This window comes from Homo sapiens, chromosome 10 (assembly GCF_000001405.40).
Source record: "Homo sapiens chromosome 10, GRCh38.p14 Primary Assembly".
Lineage (NCBI taxonomy): Eukaryota > Metazoa > Chordata > Mammalia > Primates > Hominidae > Homo > Homo sapiens.
In genome coordinates, this window is record NC_000010.11 from 119,936,529 (window position 1) to 119,959,229 (window position 22,701).

A 22,701-nucleotide genomic window follows, 5' to 3' on the forward strand; every position below is an offset into this window, starting at 1 on the left:
ATGCGATTCCGTCTCAAAAAAAAAAAAAAAAAAAAAGCTTTTTGATCCCTACATTTTGCTAAATTGCATTCCAGAAAAGTTGCTCAATTTTCATATTTACCATCAGTATGTAAAGGCCAGTATGCTTGCACTCTTGGAAACACTGGGTATTACTGATTAAAAAATTTTTTTTTGCTAATTTGATAGCCAGAAATAGTTATAATACCGTTTTTACTTACATTTCTATTATTAGTGAAGTTGAGCTCTTTGGGTGTATCTTAACTGGCTGATTATATTTCTTTTGTCAGTTGCCTGTTCATGACCTTTGTGTTTTCTTGGAGGTACGGGGTAGGGTCCTTTTCTTTCTTTATTTTATTTTATTTTATTTTATTTTTTTTAAGACGGAGTCTTGCTTTGTCGCCCAGGCTGTAGTGCAGTGGCGTGATCTCGGCTCACTGCAAGCTCCTCCTCCCGGGTTCATGCCATTCTCTTGCCTTAGCCTCCCGAGTAGCTGGGACTACAGGCGCCCGCTGCTGTGCCCAGCTAATTTTTTGTATTTTTAGTAGAGACGGGGTTTCACTGTGGTCTCGATCTCCTGACCTCGTGATCCGCCCGCCTTGGCCTCCCAAAGTGCTGGGATTACAGGCGTGAGCCACCGTGCCCGGCCAGGGTCCTTTTCTTTCTTATGGATTTATAAATATGATACTTAAGGATATTAACCTTTGTCATTATAAGTATTTTTTCCCAGTTTGAAATTAGCCTTTTATTTTTCCTTATACTTTGGATTTTTTTGGCGGCAGTTTGAGGGGAGCATGTTTTAAAAATACGTAGCCCTACGCTGGGCATGATGGCTCACGCCTGTAATCCCAGCACTTTGGCAGGCCGAGGTGGACGGATCACCTGAGGTCAGGAGGTTGAGACCAGCCTGGCCAACATGGAGAAACCCCATCTCTATTAAAAATACAGAAATTAGATGGGTGTGGTGGCTGGCACCTATAATCCCAGCTACTTGGGATGCTGAGGCAGGAGAATTGCTTGAACCCAGGAGGCGGAGGTTGCAGTGACCCTAGATTGTGCCACTGCACTCCCACCTGGATGACAGAGCGAGACTCCGTCTAAAAAAAAAAAACAAAAAAACAAAAAACATAGCCCAGTCTTTTATGATTAATTATTTTTTAGATATTTACATTTATTTTCTTTTTAGTTCTTTTTTTCCCCATTTGGCTTTGTAATTTAGAAGAGTAAGGTGTAGAGAACAATTTAACTTTTTTCTTACATAATCGTTTCTGTCTGTGCCATATATTGAATAATGTACCCTTTTGTCATTGGTTTGATATTTTTATCATATGCCAAATATTTTGCTGTTGTTTGACATTTTAATTAATATTTGTTTCCTAGGCTTTCTCATCTCTTCTGGTGATTTATTTGTCTATGATACTTCATTGATTTCAAGCCATTTATTTTCCACATTTTAACATATTTAAATTTGTAATGCATCTTAAAATCTGCTGTTGGGGCTGGTGCAGTGGCTCATACCTGTAATCCCAGCGCTGTGGGAGGATTACTTGAGCCCAGGAGTTTGAGACCAGCCTGGGCAACATAGTGAAACCTCGTCTCTTAAAAAAAAAAAAAAAAAAAATTTAAGTCAGCTGTTGCCTTAACGGAAGTTGAGTTCTTTCTGAGAAGCTGTGCATTCTCTTCTGCTGGTCACTGGGGGAGGGGCTTTACCAACTTGCCTCTGCTTAAGCTAATTTCTCTGCTTGGGATTTTTTAGGATGATGCTGGTAGTGTGATTTCAGCCCCCAAAATTTGCAGGGATGGGGTTGTCAGTTCAGATATTGGAGTTTTTGTTCCCTCTTTCCATTGTCAAGGAAGAGGTGCGCAGGCCTCTTTGCCATCCCTTCTGCATGTAGTTGCTTGCTTTTATCCCTCATTGAGACTATAGATGTTTAGTCCCCCACTTTTTGTGAGGGGTTCTCCTTTGAGACTCCCTTTCTGGGCATCTTTTTATGGTACATAACAGTGAAGTGTCACAATCAACAGTGTCTTAGATTTGGTGAAATATGGTGTTTTAATAATTGTAATTTTTTACATAATATCTGGCAGTAGAAGTTCTCAGTATACCATAGTCTTTGCAGTTATCCCGAATGAAGTTCGAAATAATTTAAGTTCCCCTGACGCTCTCTCCCCTAACAAAACAAAGCAAGACAAACAAAACCAAAAGAATAGTAATTCTAGGATTTTGCCATCACCTTATATGGAAAACTCAGAACCTTCTATTTCACATATGATTCGTTCACTATAATTGTTTTATTTACTTCTTCTTACACTTGGCTGTAAAATTTAGGCAAGAATTTAAGTTTCTAATACTATACTAATGTCATAAGATAATCCATTTAAAATGTTAACAATTATTCTATACATAGTTCATTCAAGCTTAGATCAGTTTTGCTGAATGGTTGTTTTATGTTCATGTCCTTTTAGACCTTTTTAGGATTGTTCTTTGAAAAGCCTCAAATTGGCCAGGTGTGGTGGCTTACACCTGTAATCTTAGCACTTTGGAGGCTGAGGCAGGCAGATCGCTTGAGCTCAGGAGTTCGAGACCAGCTTAGCAACATAGACAAGACATTACTTGTCTCTACTAAAAGTAAAAAAAAAAAAATCACTGGGGCATGATGGTGTGCACCTGTAGTCCCAGCAACTTGGGAGGCTGAGGTGGGAGGATTGCTGGAGTTCGGGAGATTGAGGCTGCAGTGAGCTGTGATCGTACCACTGCACTCCAGCCTGGATTATAGAGTGAGACCCTGTCTCAAAAATAAATAATTAAATAAAAAATAAAAAAGCCTCAAATTAACATGGCAGATAACTAACTTTATTTTTTATTAATATTTTAGCTGGTCACGGTGGCTCATGCCTGTAATCCCAGCACTTTGGGAGGCCAAGGCGGATCACAAGGTCAGGAGTTCGAGACCAGCCTGGCCAAATAGTGAAATCTTGTCTCTACTAAAAATACAAAAATTAGCCGGGCGTGGTAGCACACACCTGTAGTCCCAGCTACTTGGGAGGCTGAGGCAGGAGAATCTTTTGAACCTGGGAGACTGAGGGTGCAGTGAGCTGAGATCGTGCCATTGCACTCCTGCCTGGGCGACAGGGCGAGACTCTGTCTCAAAGAAAAAAAATAAAATAAAATATTTTAATTTTTTGAGAAGGGGTCTCACTCTGTCACCCAGCTTGTGTGAGTGCAGTGGCGCAATCTTGGCTCACTGCAACCTCTGACTCCCAGGCTCAAGCGATCCTCCTAACTTAGCATCTCGAGAGGCTGGGACCACAGGTGTGCACCACCACGTCTGGCTAATTTTTTTATTTTTTGGTAGAGACAGGGTTCCCCCAAGTTGCCCAGGCTGGTCTCGAACTTCTGAGCTGAGATGATCCACTTGCCTCGGCCTCCCACAGTGCTGGGATTACAGGCGTGAGCCACAACACTTGGCCATAACTAACTTTAAATTGTGTCTTTTACTCTCTGTACTGGCTTTGCTATGAAGAAATCATGCTGGTTAATCTTACTGAGTGTTTCCTGGGCATTCTTGTCCCTTTGGAAGGCCTGAGGACTTGCTTACAGGCTGTGCTCTTTGGAGGCGGTTTGCAGTGTTTGTCAGTAAAGTTGAGCACTGGATTGTCCATTTTTTTTTTTTTTTTTTGAGATGGAGTCTCACCCTGTCCCCAAGGCTGGAGTGCAGTGGCGTCATCTTGGCTCACTGCAAGCTCCGCCTCCCGTGTTCACACCATTCTCCTGCCTCAGCCTCCAGAGTAGCTGGGATTACAGGCACCCGCCACCATGCCCAGCTAATTTTTTGTATTTTCAGTAGAGATGGGGTTTCACCATGTTAGTCAGGATGGTCTCGATTTCCTGACCTTGTGATCTGCCCACCTCGGCCTCCCAAAGTGCTGAGATTACAGGCGTGAGACACCGTGCCTGGCCGATTGTCTGTTCTTTTACTTCAGAAAAGACAACGATGCATGGTATTTGACTGTAAATTTGTAAAGTTCACTGAGGTTTTTTTTTTTTTTCCTTTTTAAGACTTTCTTGTCTGCACAGAAAGTCCCAGTACAACTTCCATTGCTGAGAAAATCCTCAGAGGACTTTCCCACTTCGCTCCTGTGATGGATGACAGAAGAGTGATTCATTAACAATTGCTCAGCCACAATTCTCGGATATAGGGATTCAAAAGACAGGACACAGAACTAACACAGTGAAAAAAATCAGTACCACATTTGGACAGTATAGGTGAGAAAACATAATTATAAAAATGATGCCATGAAAAATTCCACAGATCAGTTTAGTTGTATAGTTGTCAAAGTTATATGTGATATCAATGAAGAAATATTTGTAGCATGTAAACGGTTATTTCTGTTTCTTAAAAAGTATTGTTAGTGGGCTATTAAACTTGGATTTTTCTTTTTATTAATGCAGTATGTTCTTTTTATTCAAGTATGAACTTGTTGAGAAACTATAGTAATATGATTTTTAAGAGATTTATGTTCTACTTAAAATGTGAATTGTACTTCTGAGCTGCCTTAATGCAAGGTCATTTATATTTGTTAAGAGGAAATAATCAAGATCACTCATATCCCAACTGAATCTGAGGTTTTATAAATCCCTCAAACGATTGCTGAGAGCCTGATTGTGGAAAGAAGTGAGATGCACCTTATTTTCAAGAAGTCCTGGGAAGCGCTCTCCTAGCACGTCCATTTCCAGGAGGAGAAGCAAGCAGATGAGAGGTTTTCCATTTTGTCATCCAAGGTAGCTGTGCACTTGCCTTGTTGCTGAAGTTCCAATAATGTGAAAACCAAAGTAGAGGTTTTTTTCTTCTTCTTTTTGTTTTCTATTAATTTCACTTATACCAAAGTGTTTGAAAGTATGAAATGTGTTGCTTCTGAGTTATATAAGGCTACTTCATGACAAGACTGCTTTGTAATATTTCACTTTGTTTTACTACAAATTCAGATCACTTTGTTTTACTATAAATTCAGATTATCCAAATATTTTCCTAATACTATGTGGGAATGCTGATTTTCTTTTGTTACGTAGTGGAAACATTTTGCATTGTTTACATAGTTCTCATGGAACATGGAAATTTTTGAAAGTGATATATGATACACATTTTTTGTGTATGTATTCTAATTAGTGTGAATAAAGCAGTAACATTAATGCATTTTTTAAGCAGCAAACTTATGTATTTCTCTTGTCTTCCTTAAAAGTGTCCCCATGAACTCAGTGTTTATTCCCTTTTCATTTTGAGTACCTGCTTATATGGTCAGTATGTAACGTTAGCATTGGCTCCTAATGGTAGAATTAGAACAGCAAGATTGTAGAGCTGTAATTGACTCCAGACAACATAGATTTCAGCCACCTCATTCTACAGCTGAGGCCAGGACAATAAATGCCTTTCCCAGACTGGGTAGTGGCAGATCTGGGATGGAATATGGTTTTCTTGATTCCCTTTCAGCCTTCATTTCTCTCTCTCAGGACTACTACTTTTTAATTACTTTTCACTTAATTTCCCAATACTGATGAAATAAAGAAAAATGAGGGTTATTTATATACATTTCAATAAAATCCAATTTGATTTTTCAACTTACATCTGATTTTTGTTTGTGTCATTCAGCCTGTCTTCTGAGTAATGGGCAGAGAAGGACCAGGGTTCGTAGAAGAAGCATGTGGCAGCTGAGTGGCAGCAGTCTTGCCCTTTCATTTTAATACTTGAGTACACAGAAAATAGAATTTTTGAGTGACTCTGCCTGTGGATATATATACTCATACATACATATATATATATACACACACACATATGTATGTATGTATGTATTACTATTCAGTCTCTTAAAAACCAAAAAACAGTAGATCCCCTGAGGGTAGAGTCTTTATGTATGAACATATTGTTCACTGTTGTAACCACCTTGCAGGATTTCAGTCTATAAACTAGGTGAGAATCCAGCTGCTGAGTGAAGCTTGATCTCTGCCTCTTCCTCAGGAGCAGCTCATCCCCTGACAACCTCCCCTCCCAGCCCCTAATCTGGTTTAATGCCCTCCTTTTCCCCAGATAAAGAAAGTCATGTCTGTAGTTATTCCAAAAGTGTTTCATGTGTAGAGTTTGGCACAAAAAGTAAAAAGCGCCAGCATCTGAAGTCAAAGGTGAAAGAGTCATCACAGTACTGATGAAGACACCCAGGCCTCGTCAGCTATGTTAACGTGCTGTATGACAAGAGGAACCTGCTTTCTAAGTCTGCTGGACACGCGTGCTTCTTGAATCCAACCAGACAAGCATGTTTTCTCAAAACCACAGTATAAGACAAGGAAACTGCACAGATTCGAGTGATTTTTGAGGTAAGTATGTTATTGGAAAGGTGTGATCTATATAGAACCCTGTACATGAAAAGGAGGAGATGCCGCTATCTTGGCAGGGATGATCATGTATTTGAAATAGTAACTCACAGCATTTGGTCTCATGATAAGAGTACTGAAGATTATCCCAGAAAACCTAGGATGATTGGTATTTATAGTACCATTGTTTCAGGTTTTTATGACTTGAGGCATCTAACTATCTTAATGCTGTACTTTAGTGTTTACCAAGCAGCTTTCTGGTGGAAACTTGAACTGCAGACACTGAGTGTTTTGGTTTTCCTCCAAGTTATAGTTCTCATTGTAACTTAATAAGTTGGCATTCCAGCTTAGTTTGAGTCAGTTTCCCAGGGCTGGGTCCTCAGAGGAGAGTGGATAGAATTCAGTTCCTCTATGAGCTGGGGTGCTGACATTGTGTTCCTGCTGTTGACTGTCCCTGCGGTGCACGGGACAGACTGTCAGCTAACCTGTCTTCATGACATTTCTATAATACTCCTCAGGGGGTTAACCCCATCTCTACTAAAAATAAAAAAAATTAGCTGGGCATGGTGGCATGTGCCTGTAGTCCCAGCTACAGGAGGCTGAGGCAGGAGAATTGCTTGAACCCAGGAGGTGGAGGTTGCAGTGAGTTGGGATCTCGCCACTGCACTCTAGCCTGAGTGACAGAGCGAGACTCTGTCTCAAAAAAAAATAAATGAATAAAAAATAAAACAGCAACTCTTGCAGATTTCCCGAATGTATTGGTCCCAGAGAACACTGAAAATAATGTCATGTTGTTAACACCAGTGGGAGTTTGGGAAATAATTCCAGCTCTTTAATACTTCTTTCAGCTTCAGATTAAGTGAAATGAGTTTCACATATTTCAATATATGAAATTTTATGATGACACATAAAACAGGCCAGGGGTTATTGAGGACACATCTGTGAGATAGTGGGCAATGCTACATATTCGTTAGTGGATGTGCTGCAGTTCAGGTTCATGGACAGGTGGGACTGGTGTGGTTGGGATAACCCACCATGTTTGTCTTTCATTTCTTGTATAAAGAGTGGTTTTTAAAAGACCTTACTATGGAATTTTCACAAATACTCAAAAGTATGGAGAATGGTACAGTGAATCCCCATGTGCCCTTTTCCCAGCTTCAGGGGTGGTGTCAGTGATAATGATTTGGCTCTGTGTCCCCACCCAAATCTCATCTTGAATTGTAATCCCCACGTGTCAGGGGAGGGACCTGGTGGGAGGTGATTGGATCATGGGGGCTGTTTCCCCATGCTGTTCTTGTGATAGTGAGGGAGTTCTCACAAGATCTGATGGTTTTAAAAGTGGCAGTTTTCCCTGCACTCTCTCCTGCCACCTTGTGAAGAAGGTGCCTGCTTCCCCTTTGCCTTTCGTCACAATTGTAAGTTCCCCGAGGTTCGTCATGATTGTAAGTTTCCTGAGGTCTCCCCAACCATGCAGAACTGTGAGTCACTTGAACCCCTTTTGTTTATAAATTGCCCAGTCTCAGGTAGTACCTTGATAGCAGTGTGAAAATGGACTAATACAGTCAGGGACCTAAAAGACAGGTAAAGAGATGTGGCCAGGTGAAGACGGAAAAAGGACAGTGCATTCCAGACCTGTGGAAAGACGCGAGGTTGGAAAGAACATCACAACTGGGGCGACTGAAGAAATTATGTTGTTAAGCACGAAATGCAGAGAGAGAGCTATGTGAATGTGTTGAGTGTGATTTTCATTAAACAATTTTTAAAGAAAGCATTTCTAGTGGTGCTTTTATTTTTGCAGCCGCTTAATAGCATTCACTCTTGTTGAAAGGAGCACAGTTTGGAATATTGGAAAGTGCTTGCTACCAGCTAAGATGCATTACTCTCCTATGCCGCTGAACACCTGTGCCCAGCTGTTTCTTTGAGGCCAATTTGCTCCTCTTTTCAGGGTATATTTACTAGTCAGGAGTTGTAAAGCTATTTTGAAGAGCGCTTCTGACCCCTAGAGCAACTTCAAGTGAAGGAGGCTGTTGTAGTTCCCTGGCTGTTACCTCCTGGAAGAGGCTGGGGAGGGAACTCATGCGTTTTGGGTGCTGACTGTGTCTTAGGCACTGCACAAGCTCTAGCTCATGTGTGTAATCTTTACAGAGGCGATTGAGGGAGTTGTCATCCTTGTTTTACAGAGGCGATTGAGGGAGTTGTCATCCTTGTTTTACAGAGGAGAGAAGCAAGGCTCGTAGAAGCTACTCATCTTGCCCAAACCTACACAGTTAATGGCAGGGCAGCATAAAGAAAGTGTGCTTGTGCCTCAAACATAAAAATAAAGGGAAACCTCTACTATAGAAGGATGTATTTTCAAATACTTACAAATTGCTGCCTCTTTTTGCAAACATTTAGGCAGTCAAAGCCCATTTTAATTTTTTTTTAAATGTGGGAGTAAAGACCTTGTGTTAATGAAGATCCCCAAATTGTTCTAAACAGTATAAAGGCCAGGCGTGGTGGCTTATGCCTGTAATCCCAACCCTTTGGGAGGCTGAGGTGGGAGGAACACTTGAGACCAGGAGTCCGAGACCAACATGGGCAACATAGCAAGACCTTGTCTCTACAAAAAATAAAAAAAGATAGCTGGGTGTGATGGCACATGCCTTAGTCCTAGCTAAGGATGTCGAGGCTGCAGTGAGCTGTGATCGTGCCACTGCTCTCCAGCCTGAGAGACAGAGTGAGATTCTGTATTTTGTATTTTTAGTAGAGATGGGGTTTCACCATGTTGGCCAGGCTGGTCTTGAACTCCTGATGTCAGGTGATCCAACCGCCTTGGCCTCCCAAAGTGCTGGGATTACAGGCATGAGCCACCGCGCCCGGCCGAGATTTTTTCTTGATGCTGTGTCTCATTTAACGCAGATACCTTTCATCTAACTTTTGTAAAAATTCATTTTCTGATACCACTTTTCATTTTCTAACACATTTTAGAATCCAGCCAAATACTTCTACATTTTTGCCTGTTTTCCAAATCAGTTTTGTCAACATCCGAATCTAGCATGACTGTGACCTTGGATGACTGTGTATGACTATCTCCCTTGGCCATCACTTTTTATTGCTGGGGTCCTAAGGAGTTCTACCCTTTATATAATCAGGATAATTTTGTTAAGTGACAATAATAGTCTGTTAACCTCAACTGTTGTCAAATATAATGAGTTTTGAATTGATTTTGAGACTCAATAAAAAAATTAAGTCTTCTCCAGAAGAAACATGTTAAAATTAAGGTTTCAGAATCCTTGGGCATCTCTGTAGTCGAACACGTGCTGCTTATGTGTAAATAATTAAATTCAGTCTGGTGGCTGGGTTTTAGAGCCATATCTGTCACCACTTTCTTTGGTGCTGACAGAACATCATCAACATTCTACTCCGTGGCATATCTGAAAGTTCTGGAAAGCATTCTTGAATTGCAGGAGGGATCATGGGGAGTCAACTGGAACTAAATTCCCATTTGCTAAGATCCAAAAAGAAATGAACATTTAAAAAGTTTTTATTTTATAGATGTTTAAATTTGCATAGTATAAATCCCAACCAGCTTGAAAGTGGTCACTTTTTATTTTTATGTTGACAGTTAAGTCTCCCGTATTTTTAGCTGTGGAAGAAATTGTACAGATTTTCTTATGGTGAACTTTTAACAACTTAAAAACGTGAAAAGGACATAAACAGACAATTCAGTAGGAAAAAAAAAACCCAGTTGAAGAAGATGTTCATCCTTATTACTTATCTCAAAAATAAAAATTAAAATTTATAAAGAGATGTCTTCTTTTTAACTGCTCATATTGGCAAATAAAAAGAGATGGGCCCACAAGCTCATATATTGCTCATGGGAATATCAATTGGTGCTTCTTTTCTAGAAAATGACTTGGTGTAATATGTATCAAGAGCCTTAAAATGATCTGTGTCTTTTAATCCAATAATTGAACCTTCAGAAATAGAGTCTTTAAAAAAAAAATGGACAGGGCTGGGCACAGTGGCTCACACCTGTAATCCCAGCACTTTGTGAGGCCAAGGCGGGCAGATCACTTGAGGTCAGGAGTTTGAGACCAGCCTGGCCAACATGGTGAGACCCCTGTCTCTACTAAAAATACAAAAATTAGCCGGGCATGGTGGCATGCGCCTGTAATCCCAGGTACTCGGGAGGCTGAGGCAGGAGAATCGCTTGAACCTGGAAGGTGGAGGTTGCAGTGAGCCGAGATCGCGTGACTGCACTCCAGCCTGGGTGACAGAGCAAGATTCCATCTCAAAAAAAAAAAAAGAAAAAAAAAAAAAGACAAAAATTTATGTAAGCTGGATTATTCATCATGGGAAGTTTATAGAGTGGAAACCTGGAAACAAATGTTCAGTGTGGCTAAATAGGATGGTCAATTTGGTAAGAAACTGGAGGAAAGAAGGGAGGATGCCTTGAAATGTCACAGATTTCTAGTCTTGGTCACAGGTGTCTTATCAGACAATAAAATCCCGTGGACACATCAGTGCAAATCTGTTTATTTCTGTAACTATGAAAACAACTCAAATGAACGCTGTTATTGGCAGCTTTGCAGCACCATCTGTATAAAGTCAGCACAGCAGACAGAGGCAGAATGCTGCCTGAAATAACAGGGTGGTCACTTGTATGTAAACAGTCCATTCTGGGAGACCAGTGGATGCGCAGACGTGTATAGTTTGAACCGTGGCTGGAGTGCAGACTCAGGAATCTGCCAACCAGTCCCAGCCAATCTGAGAAGGGAGGGGGTGTGATTACGGTTGTAGATAATGACAAAGCCAGAACTAGGGTCTCAGTCTCCTGTGTCCAGATCCATTCATGTCCACCTCGAGTCCAAAACTGATTAAGAGCTTCATACATCATATTGACGTTTGTGGCACAGGAATGGCACAGGCACATTTTACAGGTAAGGAAACAGATTTTAAAAGTTGAGTGACTTGCTCAAGATCACAAAATGATTAAGTGGTAGGATTGTGGTCAGCGTAGAGAAAGCAAAAATTTAAAAATTAGATGAAAATCCAAAAAAATCCATTATTTATTTTGTTTTATTTATGAATGTTCTCCCAAAGTTTGGAAAAAATCTCTGAGTGTGTTGATCAAGATTCTGTTTCTAGTGGATTTGGAAGGGAGAGGAATATGTGATTATCTAAAAAAAAGATGATCTCAGCTGGGCACAGTGGCTCATGCTTGTAATCCCAGCACTTTAGGAGGCTGAGGTGGGAGGATTGTGTGAGCCCAAAAGTTAGAGACTAGCAATATAGGGAGACCTCATCTCTACATTTTTTTTTTTTTTTTTTAGATGGAGTCTCGCCTGTCTCCCAGGCTGGAGTGCAGTGGTGGGATCTTGGCTCACTGCAAGCTCCGCCTCTCGGGTTCACGCCATTCTGCCTCAGCCTCTCGAGTAGCTGGGACTACAGGCGCCTGCCACCACGCCTGGCTAACTTTTTGTATTTTTAGTAGAGACGGGGTTTCACCATGTTAGCCAGGATGGTCTCGATCTCCTGACTTCGTTATCTGCCCGCCTCAGCCTCCCATAGTGCTGGGATTACAGACGTGAGCCACCATGTCCGGCCGCACTGCAGTGGTTTTTATAAACATCTTGTTTTTTTCTCTCTGTTGGCTGGTGCTCCCCACCTGTCCAGCAGTCCCGACTTGGTGTTCTGTTCAGGTCCCACATTCACATTTGAGGGAGCAGGTACATGGTAAGGGTGGCTATATTATCTGATGTAAAATGCAGAGCCTTTAACTTTAGAAGCTTGAGTCGTAGATCTACAAGAACTTTAAAAGCATTTTTAGGCTGGGTGCTGCAGCTCATGCTTGTAATGCCTGGCACTTTAGGAGGTTAAGGTGGGTGGATCGCTGGAGTTCAGGAGTTTGAGACCAACTTGGGCAACAGTGAGACCCCGTCTCTACCGAAAAACAAAAAAATAGCTGGGCATGGTGGTGCATGCCTGGGTCCTAGCTACTTGGGAGCTGAGGCGGGAGGATTGCTTGAGCCTGGGAGTTCAGGGCTGCAGTGAGCTGTGATCACATGGCACTCCAGCCTGGCAAGACCCTGTCTCAGAAAAAAAAAAAAAAAGAAACACTTTTAATAGTTACTAATTATTTCTTTTCTTGGATCATGCTTCCACTTTGCAGATGGCTTTCATGGACTTTACTTCATTTGACCTTCGTGCTTATTGAGGGAAGAAGGCAGGACAGGGATGATGGTCTCCATCATTTTATTTTCATTTTTTAAATTGACAAATAAAAATTGTATATATGTTGTATGACATGATGGTTTGAAATATGTATACATTGTGGGATGGCCAAATCAAGCTAATTAACATATGCATCACCTCATGTACTTAGATGACCTCCATCTTCGTAGAAGGGAGAGCTAAGAGTCCCCGAACTGACGCGACTTGTCCAGAGTGACTCAGGCGTGAACGGTGAAGCTGGGACTTGTCTTATATCTTCCTACTCTGGGTCAAGGCCTTTTCTGTGATACTGTTTTGCTTCTCTATGGAAATAGATTATTGGTAACTGATAGGCCCTAAAATGAGTGAATAGGAAATAGCTCTTGGCACTGTGTTGGATTAGAAAATTAGGAAAATGCAAAAAGGCATAAATGAAAAAATAAAAATCACATATATTCTACCCGTGCCATTTTGCATTTTTCCTTATAAAAATTTGATCACATTATAATCTTTGGAACTTTTTTCCTTTACTAGAATGTGAATTGTTTTCATGTTATTAAAAAAATCTTCTATTAAGATACTAGTTAAGTAAAAATCCATTTTTACTTAACCAACCCCCTATTTGATCTTTGGATTGTGTCCATGGTATGGTTTGGCTGAGTCTCATCTTGAATTGTAGTTTCCATAATCCCACATCTCATCTTGAATTGTAGTTCCCAATTCAAGTCTCCCACCCAAGTCTCATCTTGAATTGTAGTTCCCATAATCCCCACGTGTTGTGGGAGGGATCCGGTGGGATATAATTTAATAATGGGGGTGGTTACCCTCATGCTGTTCTCATGAGAGTGAGTTCTCCACAAGATCTGATGGTTTTATAAAGGGCTTTTCCCCCTTTTGCTCAGCACTTCTCCTTGCTGCTGCCATGTGAAGAAGGATGTGTTTGCTTCCCCTTCTGCCATGATTGTAAGTTTCCTGAGGCCTCCCCAGCCATGCTGAACTGTGAGTCAATTAAACCTCTTTCCTTTATAAATTACCCAGTCCTGGGTATGTCATTATTAGCAGTGTGAGAATGGACTAATACAGTCCAGTTTTCTAATTATGTGTGTGTGTGTGTCTGTCTATCTGTATCTCTGTGTATGGATAGAAAGATAGATATGTAGATAGATCCACCTTTTGATGAACCTGTTTTCAGAGAAAGCTTTGTGAATATCTGACTTAGGTTTCAAATTCAGTTTACACTGCACAGGTAAGATTCCTCTGAGATCAAGTGAAATGGGAAGTTGCTAAGGAAATGAGATTTCCTTCACTTGACCCTGAGTCTTCATTCACCCTCTTTGAAGGCTCATCATTCTCAAGATTTTGTTCCCTGAATGGCAGTGTTGGCATCCACCAAAACTCTATGATAAATTTAGAGTTAAACCTCAGCTACTTAGCTAGGTAGTAAAGTGACTTTTCTGTTATTCAACCAAAAATTAATTTTACCAAAGAACCCAATGAGAGAGAGAGAGAGAGTGTGTGTGTGTGTGTCACGGAAAGTGTGAATTCTGGAAGGCATTCCATTGAACACAGTGGCTATTTAATACATTTCCCAGGGCTCTCAAGTCTGATTCAACTAGAAGGAGAGAGTTTACCAAAAGGCAGTAGTTTGTGTCTGAATCCTGGGTTCACCAGTGGATGCTATTTAAATGTGACTTGCACATATAGTTATGGAATATGTAACTTTTCTGGAAAGGACTAATATTTTAGAAAGTTTTGAATTATCTAGTTTATGCCATGTATGTGATTTGTATTATATTTGTTTGTTTTCATTCAGATGCTTGTGTCTTACTTTAGTATTTGATTTGATCGACATAGCTAGTATTAGCAATATTTTAAATCATTTTTGCAGTATCGGTGGCATTTTATTAATTTACTTTTATTGTAAAATGAAATTTGCCTTTGAAGATGTCCCTTTATTTTCAGAAAATCTAATTATTAGCTATAGGTATTATTTTCCCACAAACCTGTTTAGCTCCTCTAATTTACCTTCCTAAAGCTCTTAAATCCAGATTATGTATATGAGAGGAGAAGAGAGAGATCAGAGTAGTCCATCCCCTGTTTCGTCTTGCCAAGAAATCTTGTCTTCCAGATTGTAACTGTTTCCTTGTTGCCTTTTTTTCCCCATCCAATTTTTAGTACCCAGCTTGCCACATTTTCAACGGCTAATGCCATGAGGGAGATTTGCACTTTCAGTAATGGTGGACTAACTTACTGTATACCAGCCCTCCCACTGAAAACAACTAGAAAATATAATGTATGTAAAAAATCTGTTTGAAGGTAGCAGAGCCTCCCAAGGAAGTGAGGACATGAGGGGCCACCATCTCAGAGAGAAAGGAAGCACAGCAAAGTAAGTATGGCATTTGGTGCCACTTCTCCCTTCGAGGTTACTGCCAAAGCAGAAAGTGGCAAATGAGAGGCTGAAAAGGTGAGAGAAGAGCCTCTGGCACTTATAGGATGGAGAAGAGAAAAGCTGTATTTAGGGCACAACAAGCAGACAGAGCTCTGGTATGTACCTTGGGTCTATTTCTTCAGAAGGGGATGAGCCAGAAGTAGAGAAACCCTCACAAAGACAAGCCCACAGTTAAATCAGCTTAATTATTGATATTATTAGGGTGATCTACGCCTCTTTGAACTGACTTCCAGAAGCAAAACAGATTGCTTTTGGGAGGAAGATAACATCACCCAGTGCTTCAAATTACTTCTATAGTTTGCCATACACAATGTCTAATCTACACGACTGAAAACCAAAAGGAAAAAGCACAGTAAAAACAGATCTACAGTAGATCCAGACATTGGAGGTATTAGACACAGACATTAAGGTAACTGATTAATATCAAGACATTAAATCCAGTTTAGTGACTTCTAGTAAAGAACTGGAGATAAAAAAGAACTGGATGGAAATTCTAGAACTGAGAAATAGAACAACAGAATTTTGAGGGTTCAATAGTGGGCTTCACAACAGATAAGGCAGTTGAAGAGACAAATAGTGAATTGGAAGGTAAGTCAAAAAGAAATGGACTGGAGCAGAGAGAGGAAAAGGATTGAAAACGCAGGAAAGAGTATGTGAGACACACAGGATATGGTGAAAAGTTTCACGTGTGTAACTGGAGTCCTTGAAGGCAGGGAGGACAGAGATTAGGGCAGGAGCAGTATTTGAAGGGATCGTTAACAAGGATCTTCCAAAACTGGCTCATGGTTTCAGGAAGTACTGTTTACCCTAAGCCGGGCAAGAAAAATGCAAAGAAAACCCAACACTGAGGCGCATCATGGTAAAATGCTGGGTGGCTTTAAATCACTTCTTAAGTCGTTACTTGACAAAGATGTCTTGTACTGAACAGGCCTTCACATAATGGGCAGACACCATTTCTGTGAATTTCCACAGTGGCTTTTATAGCTTTGCCTTTAGAATTCTTCCCAGTCACATCTCTTTTTTGGGGAACACTTCCCAAGGACCAGCCTTGGCCCTTAGTAAGGTTGCCGTGCATGCACAACTAGTGTCCTCTGTGCACCTTTGTCTGTAATTCTAGGGGAGAAACAGTGCCACTGCCTCATCTGCCCCAACAGTTCTTTCACTGTGTCATATCACTGAGGAGTTGGATGGGGTGTAGGCCAGTGGCTAAGAGCACAGGCTGGAAACAGACTACCTATGTCTGATCAAGCTCTTGTTCCAACACTTACTCATTGTATAATCTTGGACTAGCTACCTCGTCCTAGCTTTAGTGTACTAAGTGTACAAGAAGGGTTATAACATTCCTTACTTTTTAGGGCTATTACGAGATTTAAATGAGCCCATGGGTGTATGTGTTTTACATATAGAAAACAATTAATAGATGGGCTTATTTTTAAATCTCCTTGACCCATTTCTTGAACCATATATTTCTCCCTTAATAATAGCTGAGGCTTCTTCAAACTTTTTATGCCTGGTTTGGTCCAGTGGGAACTGAACATGAAAGGAGAGGAGATGGTGTACATTTTATATCAGAGCAGAGAGCTTAAAAATTAATCTCTTTAAGTATGTACAAGAGTTGGTGGACTTCACTCTTTAAAGGAGGAAGTGAACATGAAGTCTGAAAAGTTTCCAGAGTTAGAGAAGGCAGACCCTGATAAAACACCTGGATAGGTTAAAGGATTTTCTCCTTATAGTAAAAGTTAACTTTTCTGACCCAATTTAAATTTGATTTCCTGTTTCTGCCTTAAAAAAAATTGATGCATAGAATGCACCATCTTCTGTATCAGAAAATTCTTTCATAACAATTTCCATTAATGGAATCATTTCTTCCTCCCTCCCTCCCTTCCTCCCTTCCTTCCCTCCTTTCCTCCCTCCCTCCTTCCTTCTTTCCCTCCCTCCCTCCTTCCTTCCTTCTTTCCCTCCCTCCCTCCTTCCTTCTTTCCTTCCTTCCTCTTCCTCCCTCCCCCCTTCTCCTTCCTTCCCTCCCTCCTTCCTTCCTTCTTTCCTTCCTTCCTCTTCCTCCCTCCCCCCTTCTCCTTCCTTCCCTCCCTCCTTCCTTCCTTCTTTCCTTCCTTCCTCTTCCTCCCTCCCCCCTTCTCCTTCCTTCCTTCCCTCCTTCCTTTCTTTCTTCCTTCCTCTTCCTCCTTGCCCCCCCTCCTCCCTCCCTCCCTTCCTCCCTTCCTCTCTTCCTGCTTTTTTCCTTTTCTTCTTTCTTTTCTTTTCTCTTTTCTTCCTTTCCTTCCTTCCTCTCCTTCCTTTCCTTCCTTCCTTCTTTCTCTTTCTTTCTTTCCTTTCTCACGCTGTTGCCCAGGCTGAAGTGCAGTGGTGCAGTGATAACTCACAGTAACATCAACCTCCTGCACTCAAGCAATCTCCTACCTCAGTCACCTGAGTAGCTGGGACAACAGGAGCGTGACACCATGCCTGGCTGATTTTTAAAATTTTTTTTTATACAGATGGGGTCTTGCTATGTTGCCTAGGTTGGTCTTTGAACTCCTGAGCTCAAGTGATCCTCCTGCCTCAGCTTCTCAAAGTGCTGGGATTACAGGCGTGAGCCACAGTGGCCATTGTATCTTTTATTTCTGATTCAACTCTGGACATCAACCTGACTACTTTTACTTCTTGGTTAATACATTTTTTTCATATATTCACATAAATTTCTTAATCTACACACTAGATATTTGACTTCTCCTTAAGTAAATACATATGTATACAATTTAAATTGTAATTATAACTACATTACAGAAAATTGGAAAATAAATTTCACCTAATATCAAAGACTAAACTCAACTACCATTGACATCAACCTGTCTGATGTATTGTCTCTCCTTGGGCCAGCACTGAGGAGCACTGAGAAGGAAATAAAAGAAGCAGCCGCATCTGCCTTTCATAAAGCACGTGCTGTGTGCCAGGCACTAGATGAAGCTGTCGCCATGCGTGGTCTCATCCAATTGTCACATCCACCCGGAGAAGCCTTTACTTTGGGCCAAGGGCATCATTCTCTTTTTTTTCACTAGGCAAAAATATGATCTTAATGTGAGTGTAAATTTGGACACTGAAATTGGTGGCAATCTTTGCTTGCAAGGTAGATGACGCAGAACACAGTGATTGAGAGAGAATTCATAGACTCACTCCTATTTCCCACACTGACATGGAAAGCTCTGCTGTTGTTGTTTGAGGAGCGTCTAGGGTTCTATGATGCAGGTTTGGATTCACTCATCCATTCTAAAGATTCGCGGTTAAGCCTACCACGAGCCAGGCTCTGTTCCTGGCACTTGGGCTATGGTAGTGAACAAAACAGAGATCCCTGTCATGAGCTTAAGTTCCAGTGGGAAGGGAGGCAGCAGATAAGCAACGTGCAGGATAAATGGTATGTGGAGATGTATGGCAGGCTGGAATGTGACAGATGCTATGGAAAAAATAAAGTGGGGCTGGGCGCTGTGGTTCGTGCCTGTAATCCCAGCACTTTGGGAGGCCAAGTTGGGCAGGTCGCTTGAGCCCAGTAATTTGAGACCAGCCTGGGCAACATAATGAGACCCTATCTCTACAAAAAATACAAAAATTAGCCAGATGTTGTGGTGCATGCCTGTAGTCCTAGCTACTTGGGAGACTGAGGTGGGAGGATTGCCTGAGACGAGGAGCTCAAGGCTGCTGTGATTGCACCACTGAACTCCAGCCTGGGTGACAGAGTGAGAGCCTATTTAAAAAAAAAAAAAAAAAAAAAAAGTGGGCCAAGGGAGGTAATTTGGGAGTGGTATCGGTCTTGACTTCGTGCACAGGTAACATTTGAGCAGAGACCAGAGGGAAGTGAGGGCATGACCACGTGGAGGGCTGAGGCCAGAGTGCAGTGGGCAGAGAGAATCCAAAGTGGGAACCCAGGCTCGAAGGTGGGAACACACCTAGCGAGGCAAGGAGGCCGGGGAGGCTGTAGGAAAAAAGCCAAGGAGAGAGAAGTCAGGGTGGGTTGGTCAGGCTCTTGGAGCCATTATTAGGGCCTTGACTTTTACCCTTAGAGAAATGAGGAGCCCCTGGAGAACCTGGGCAGAGGTGTGACATGATGGGCCTTGTATTTCAATAGCATCCTTCTGGCTGTGTGGGGAGAGAGGACAGCAGGGGTGTCACAGGTTGGATTTCCCCAGAAACAGACTCTGAGAGAGAGGAAAACATGCAGGAAGTTTATTGGGGTGCACCCTTGGGATCAACATCTGTGGGGGAGTGAGGGAGGCAGGATTGGGCAGAGGCCTAAGTGTGGCAGTTGCAGCAGAGGCCCAGTGGGATGGCCTTTCAGAGATGTCTCGAATGGAGGCGAGGGGCCTTGGACTTGATACCCCTGCATCGACCAGTCATAGCATGTGGGCTGCTCCCAGAAAGGGGGTGTGAGCTCAGCCAGGCAGCTCTTATCCTAAACCCAGCCCCTTCCCTAAGAGGGAAGTTCCTGAAGGGACTTGACTGAGTGCCATTGGCAGGTGACACTTCTGGAAGCTGGGGAAATGAATGCCTCTGTTTGAAGAGTTGACCAGGGTGGTACGTCCCAGCCTCAACTACAGGGCAAGGGTGGGAGCCATGAGGCCACAGAGGAGGCTCTTACAGGAGCCCAAGTGAGAGATGATGTGGGCTGTACCTCCATGGTAGAAGGGAAGGGGTGAAGCGTGGCTGGATTCTGGACCTAGTTTGAAGGTAGAGGCTGGAGGATTTTCTGATCAATTGGGTTTGGGATGGGAGAGAGGAGTCAAGGACCACCCCCTAGTTGAGCAGAGAAAGACCAGACTGGAGACAGAGGGAAGAAGGAAAGCTGTCATTAGAAGAGGCCAAGTCAATATAGATCATAGAGGGAAGGGCCTCTAAGGGCTGGTGGTAGAGGAAGAGCCTTAGGAGGAGGGGTCTTCTGAGGAGCTTTGGAGAAATCGGGGTGGTGTGAAATGGGGATTTGAGAAATATTGCTGGAGGTTATGGATTAGATCCCTCTTAATATTTTTGGAGGGGCTTAAGTTAAAAAATTAAAAAAATTACAGGTGCAGTGGCCCACACTTGTAATCACAGCACTTTGGGAGGCCAAGGAGGGAGGATTGCTTGAGCCCAGGAGTTCAAGACCAGTCTGGGCAACATGGCAAGACCCTGTCTCTACAAAAAAACTTAAAAAATTAGCCAAACATGGTGGCACGCACCTGTAGTCCCAGCTACTTGGGAGGCTGAGGTTGTGGGGATGGCTTGAGCCCTGGAGGTCCAAGCTGCAGTGAGCCATGATGGCACCACTGCACTCCAGTGCAGGTGACAGAGTGAGACCCTGTCTCTAAATTAATAAAAGGAATTTCTTTGAAAAGATTGTTGTCTGTTTGGCCTGTGTTCTTCCACCCCATGTGACTAGCCTAAGCATGGCACTTGTCCCTTTACCAGTGATGGCCCAGGGATGGCCACATACTCAGTCCTGGCTGGTGCTGTTGGGGAGACAGCTGGCTAGTGGGGGTGGGGTGCTTCTGGGAAGGCTGCCTCCCTCCCAGGAAGGTCCATATAGAATGTTTTCTGACCCTGATCACAGTCCTCAGGACAGTCATGATTGCTGCTCCTCCCAGTCCCGAGTGCTATTCATGCTTCATCTCCATCACCTCTCATAACAGCCACAGGAGCAGACATTGTCATCTTATTCTACAGGACAAAATTGGGAGTAAGGGAAGTCAGGAGACTTGATTACCATCACACATCTAGTAAGAAAAATTACACATGAAGCCCTTAGGACTGGCACCGAGGAGATGCTGAGTAAATGGCATTGATCATTGTAATACAGGGACTTCCTCATTTCCAGGGAGGAGGGGAAGATCATTTGTCCAGATGTATGTGCTTCTGAATTCACTATTGATTTTTATAGCTTTTCTGTTTCCCCCTTCACCATGTATTGGCATTTGTAAATATAGTCACATGTTTACCTGAGCTACAGTGTAACAGAAAGAACTCCAAGGTCTATAAACCTGGCTTTGAATCCAGGCTGCATTACCTACTAGCTGTGTGACGTTGGAAGAGTTACTTACCAGCCCTTGAGCATGTGTCCTCATTTATGAAACGTGGATAATAATAACCTCCGAAGGCGGTTTGAGGGTAATAAGGTGCTTATTAGCTCATTATCTGGAACACAGTCAGTGCTCAAGAATGCTAGGTATTATTATCCAAGTTATTGTGTAGATGGCTTATTTGGACAGATCACATGAAAGGGCCAAATGAAGGTATGCAAGAGTGCTTTACAAATGCATGTTATTATATTGTTAGAGAAACTCCACTGCATGGAGGAATTTGCTATATGAAAAATGGGCTGGGCACAATAGCTCACGCCTATAATCCTAGCACTTTGGGAGGCCGAGACGGGCGGATCACCTGAGATCAGGAGATTGAGAACAGCCTGGCCACATCGTGAAACACTGTCTATACTAAAAATACAAAAAAAAAAAAAAAAAAAAAAAAAAAATTAGCCAGATGTGGTGGCGCGTGCCTGTAGTCCCAGTTGCTTGGGAGACTGAGGCAGGAGAATCTCTTGAACCCAGGAGGCGGAGGTTGCAGTGAGCCGAGATCACGCCACTGCACTCCAGCCTGGGTGACAGAGCAGGACTCCGTCTCAAAAAAAAAAAAAAGAAAATGAATTGATACAAGAGACGTGCATGCCTAGTGGGCTAGAAATCTTGGTGTGGGGAACAGCATAGCATGAAGGAAGGAGGGAGGGAGAGAATGAGTGAGAGAGAGAGCACAAGTGCCAATTGACTGGGAGTTCCGGGCCACGCATGCATTGCCATGGGGCCTTGTAAAGTGCCCAGGATTTGGAAGGATACTAGGGCTAAAGTGAGAGGGAGTCTCCCAAGGGAATGTGAGCCTCTGGAGGCAAGTGATGGTTTTTTTTTTTCTGAAGCACCCTCAGGAAACTGCCTGGAGCCCTCAAGAACGTGGAGGCCTGAAGTGCTGCCCCTGGTCTGAGTTCCTGGAGCCTGGTCTGTCACTGGGGAAGTCCAGAGCTCCAAGGCTCAGTGCCCAGGGGACGCAGAAGTCACGAGCAGGGTGAAGGTGGACAGTGTCACTGAAGGATCCTAGGCAGGGGGAAAACTGAATCCAAGTCAAAGGGCCAGTACTTGGGGGCTCGACACAGAAAAAGGCTCAGGGGAAACCAGGCGGGAAACTGAGCCCAGAGCAGTAGCTCTGCATTGAGCTGTGGTCCAAGGGGCGCCATTCACTTAAAGCACAATCCCATCACCCTTGCCCCAGGTACACACGGTTACCCTGGCTCGAAAAGTTCCTAAATCAGGGAGTCGTCTATAGCGATTCTGTTCACACGAGACTGAACGCTGCATGCGGGTGGGTCACTAAGCCCCCACGGGAATGTGGATTTTGTGTTTTTATTTTGATGATGATCCTTAGAAAACAAACACACACACGGCCGGGTGCGGTGGCTCACGCCTGTAATCCCAGCACTTTGGCCGAGGCGGGCGGATCACGAGGTCAGGAGATGAGACCATCCTGGCTAACACGGTGAAACCCCGTCTCTACTAAAAATACAAAAAATTAGCCGGGCATGGTGGCCGGCGCCTGTAGTCCCAGCTACTCGGGAGGCTGAGGCAGGATAATCGCTTGAACCCGGGAGGCGGAGCTTGCAGTGAGCCGAGATCGCGCCACTGCACTCCAG

The 22,701-nt window shown here is 42.8% G+C and overlaps 1 protein-coding gene and 1 non-coding gene across 6 annotated transcripts in view; both read left to right on the top strand.

Annotated features, from left to right (window-relative positions):
* Nucleotides 1-8,129, top strand: part of SEC23IP (SEC23 interacting protein) — a 51,928-nt gene extending 43,799 nt beyond the window's left edge. For 3 of the 5 annotated variants that reach the window (NR_037771.2, NM_007190.4, NM_001411070.1), the window contains one exon: nt 4,058-8,129. The gene's annotated coding sequence lies outside the window, so the exon portion shown is untranslated. The remainder of the gene's footprint in view (nt 1-4,057) is intronic. The other 2 variants (XR_246061.3, XR_007061940.1) reach the window with 1 other exon arrangement.
* Nucleotides 8,130-21,984: 13,855 nt separating this feature from the next.
* MIR4682 (microRNA 4682) lies at nt 21,985-22,064 on the top strand. Its single transcript, NR_039830.1, has one exon. It is a non-coding gene; the product is annotated as a microRNA 4682 (primary transcript).
* Nucleotides 22,065-22,701: the final 637 nt, after the last annotated feature.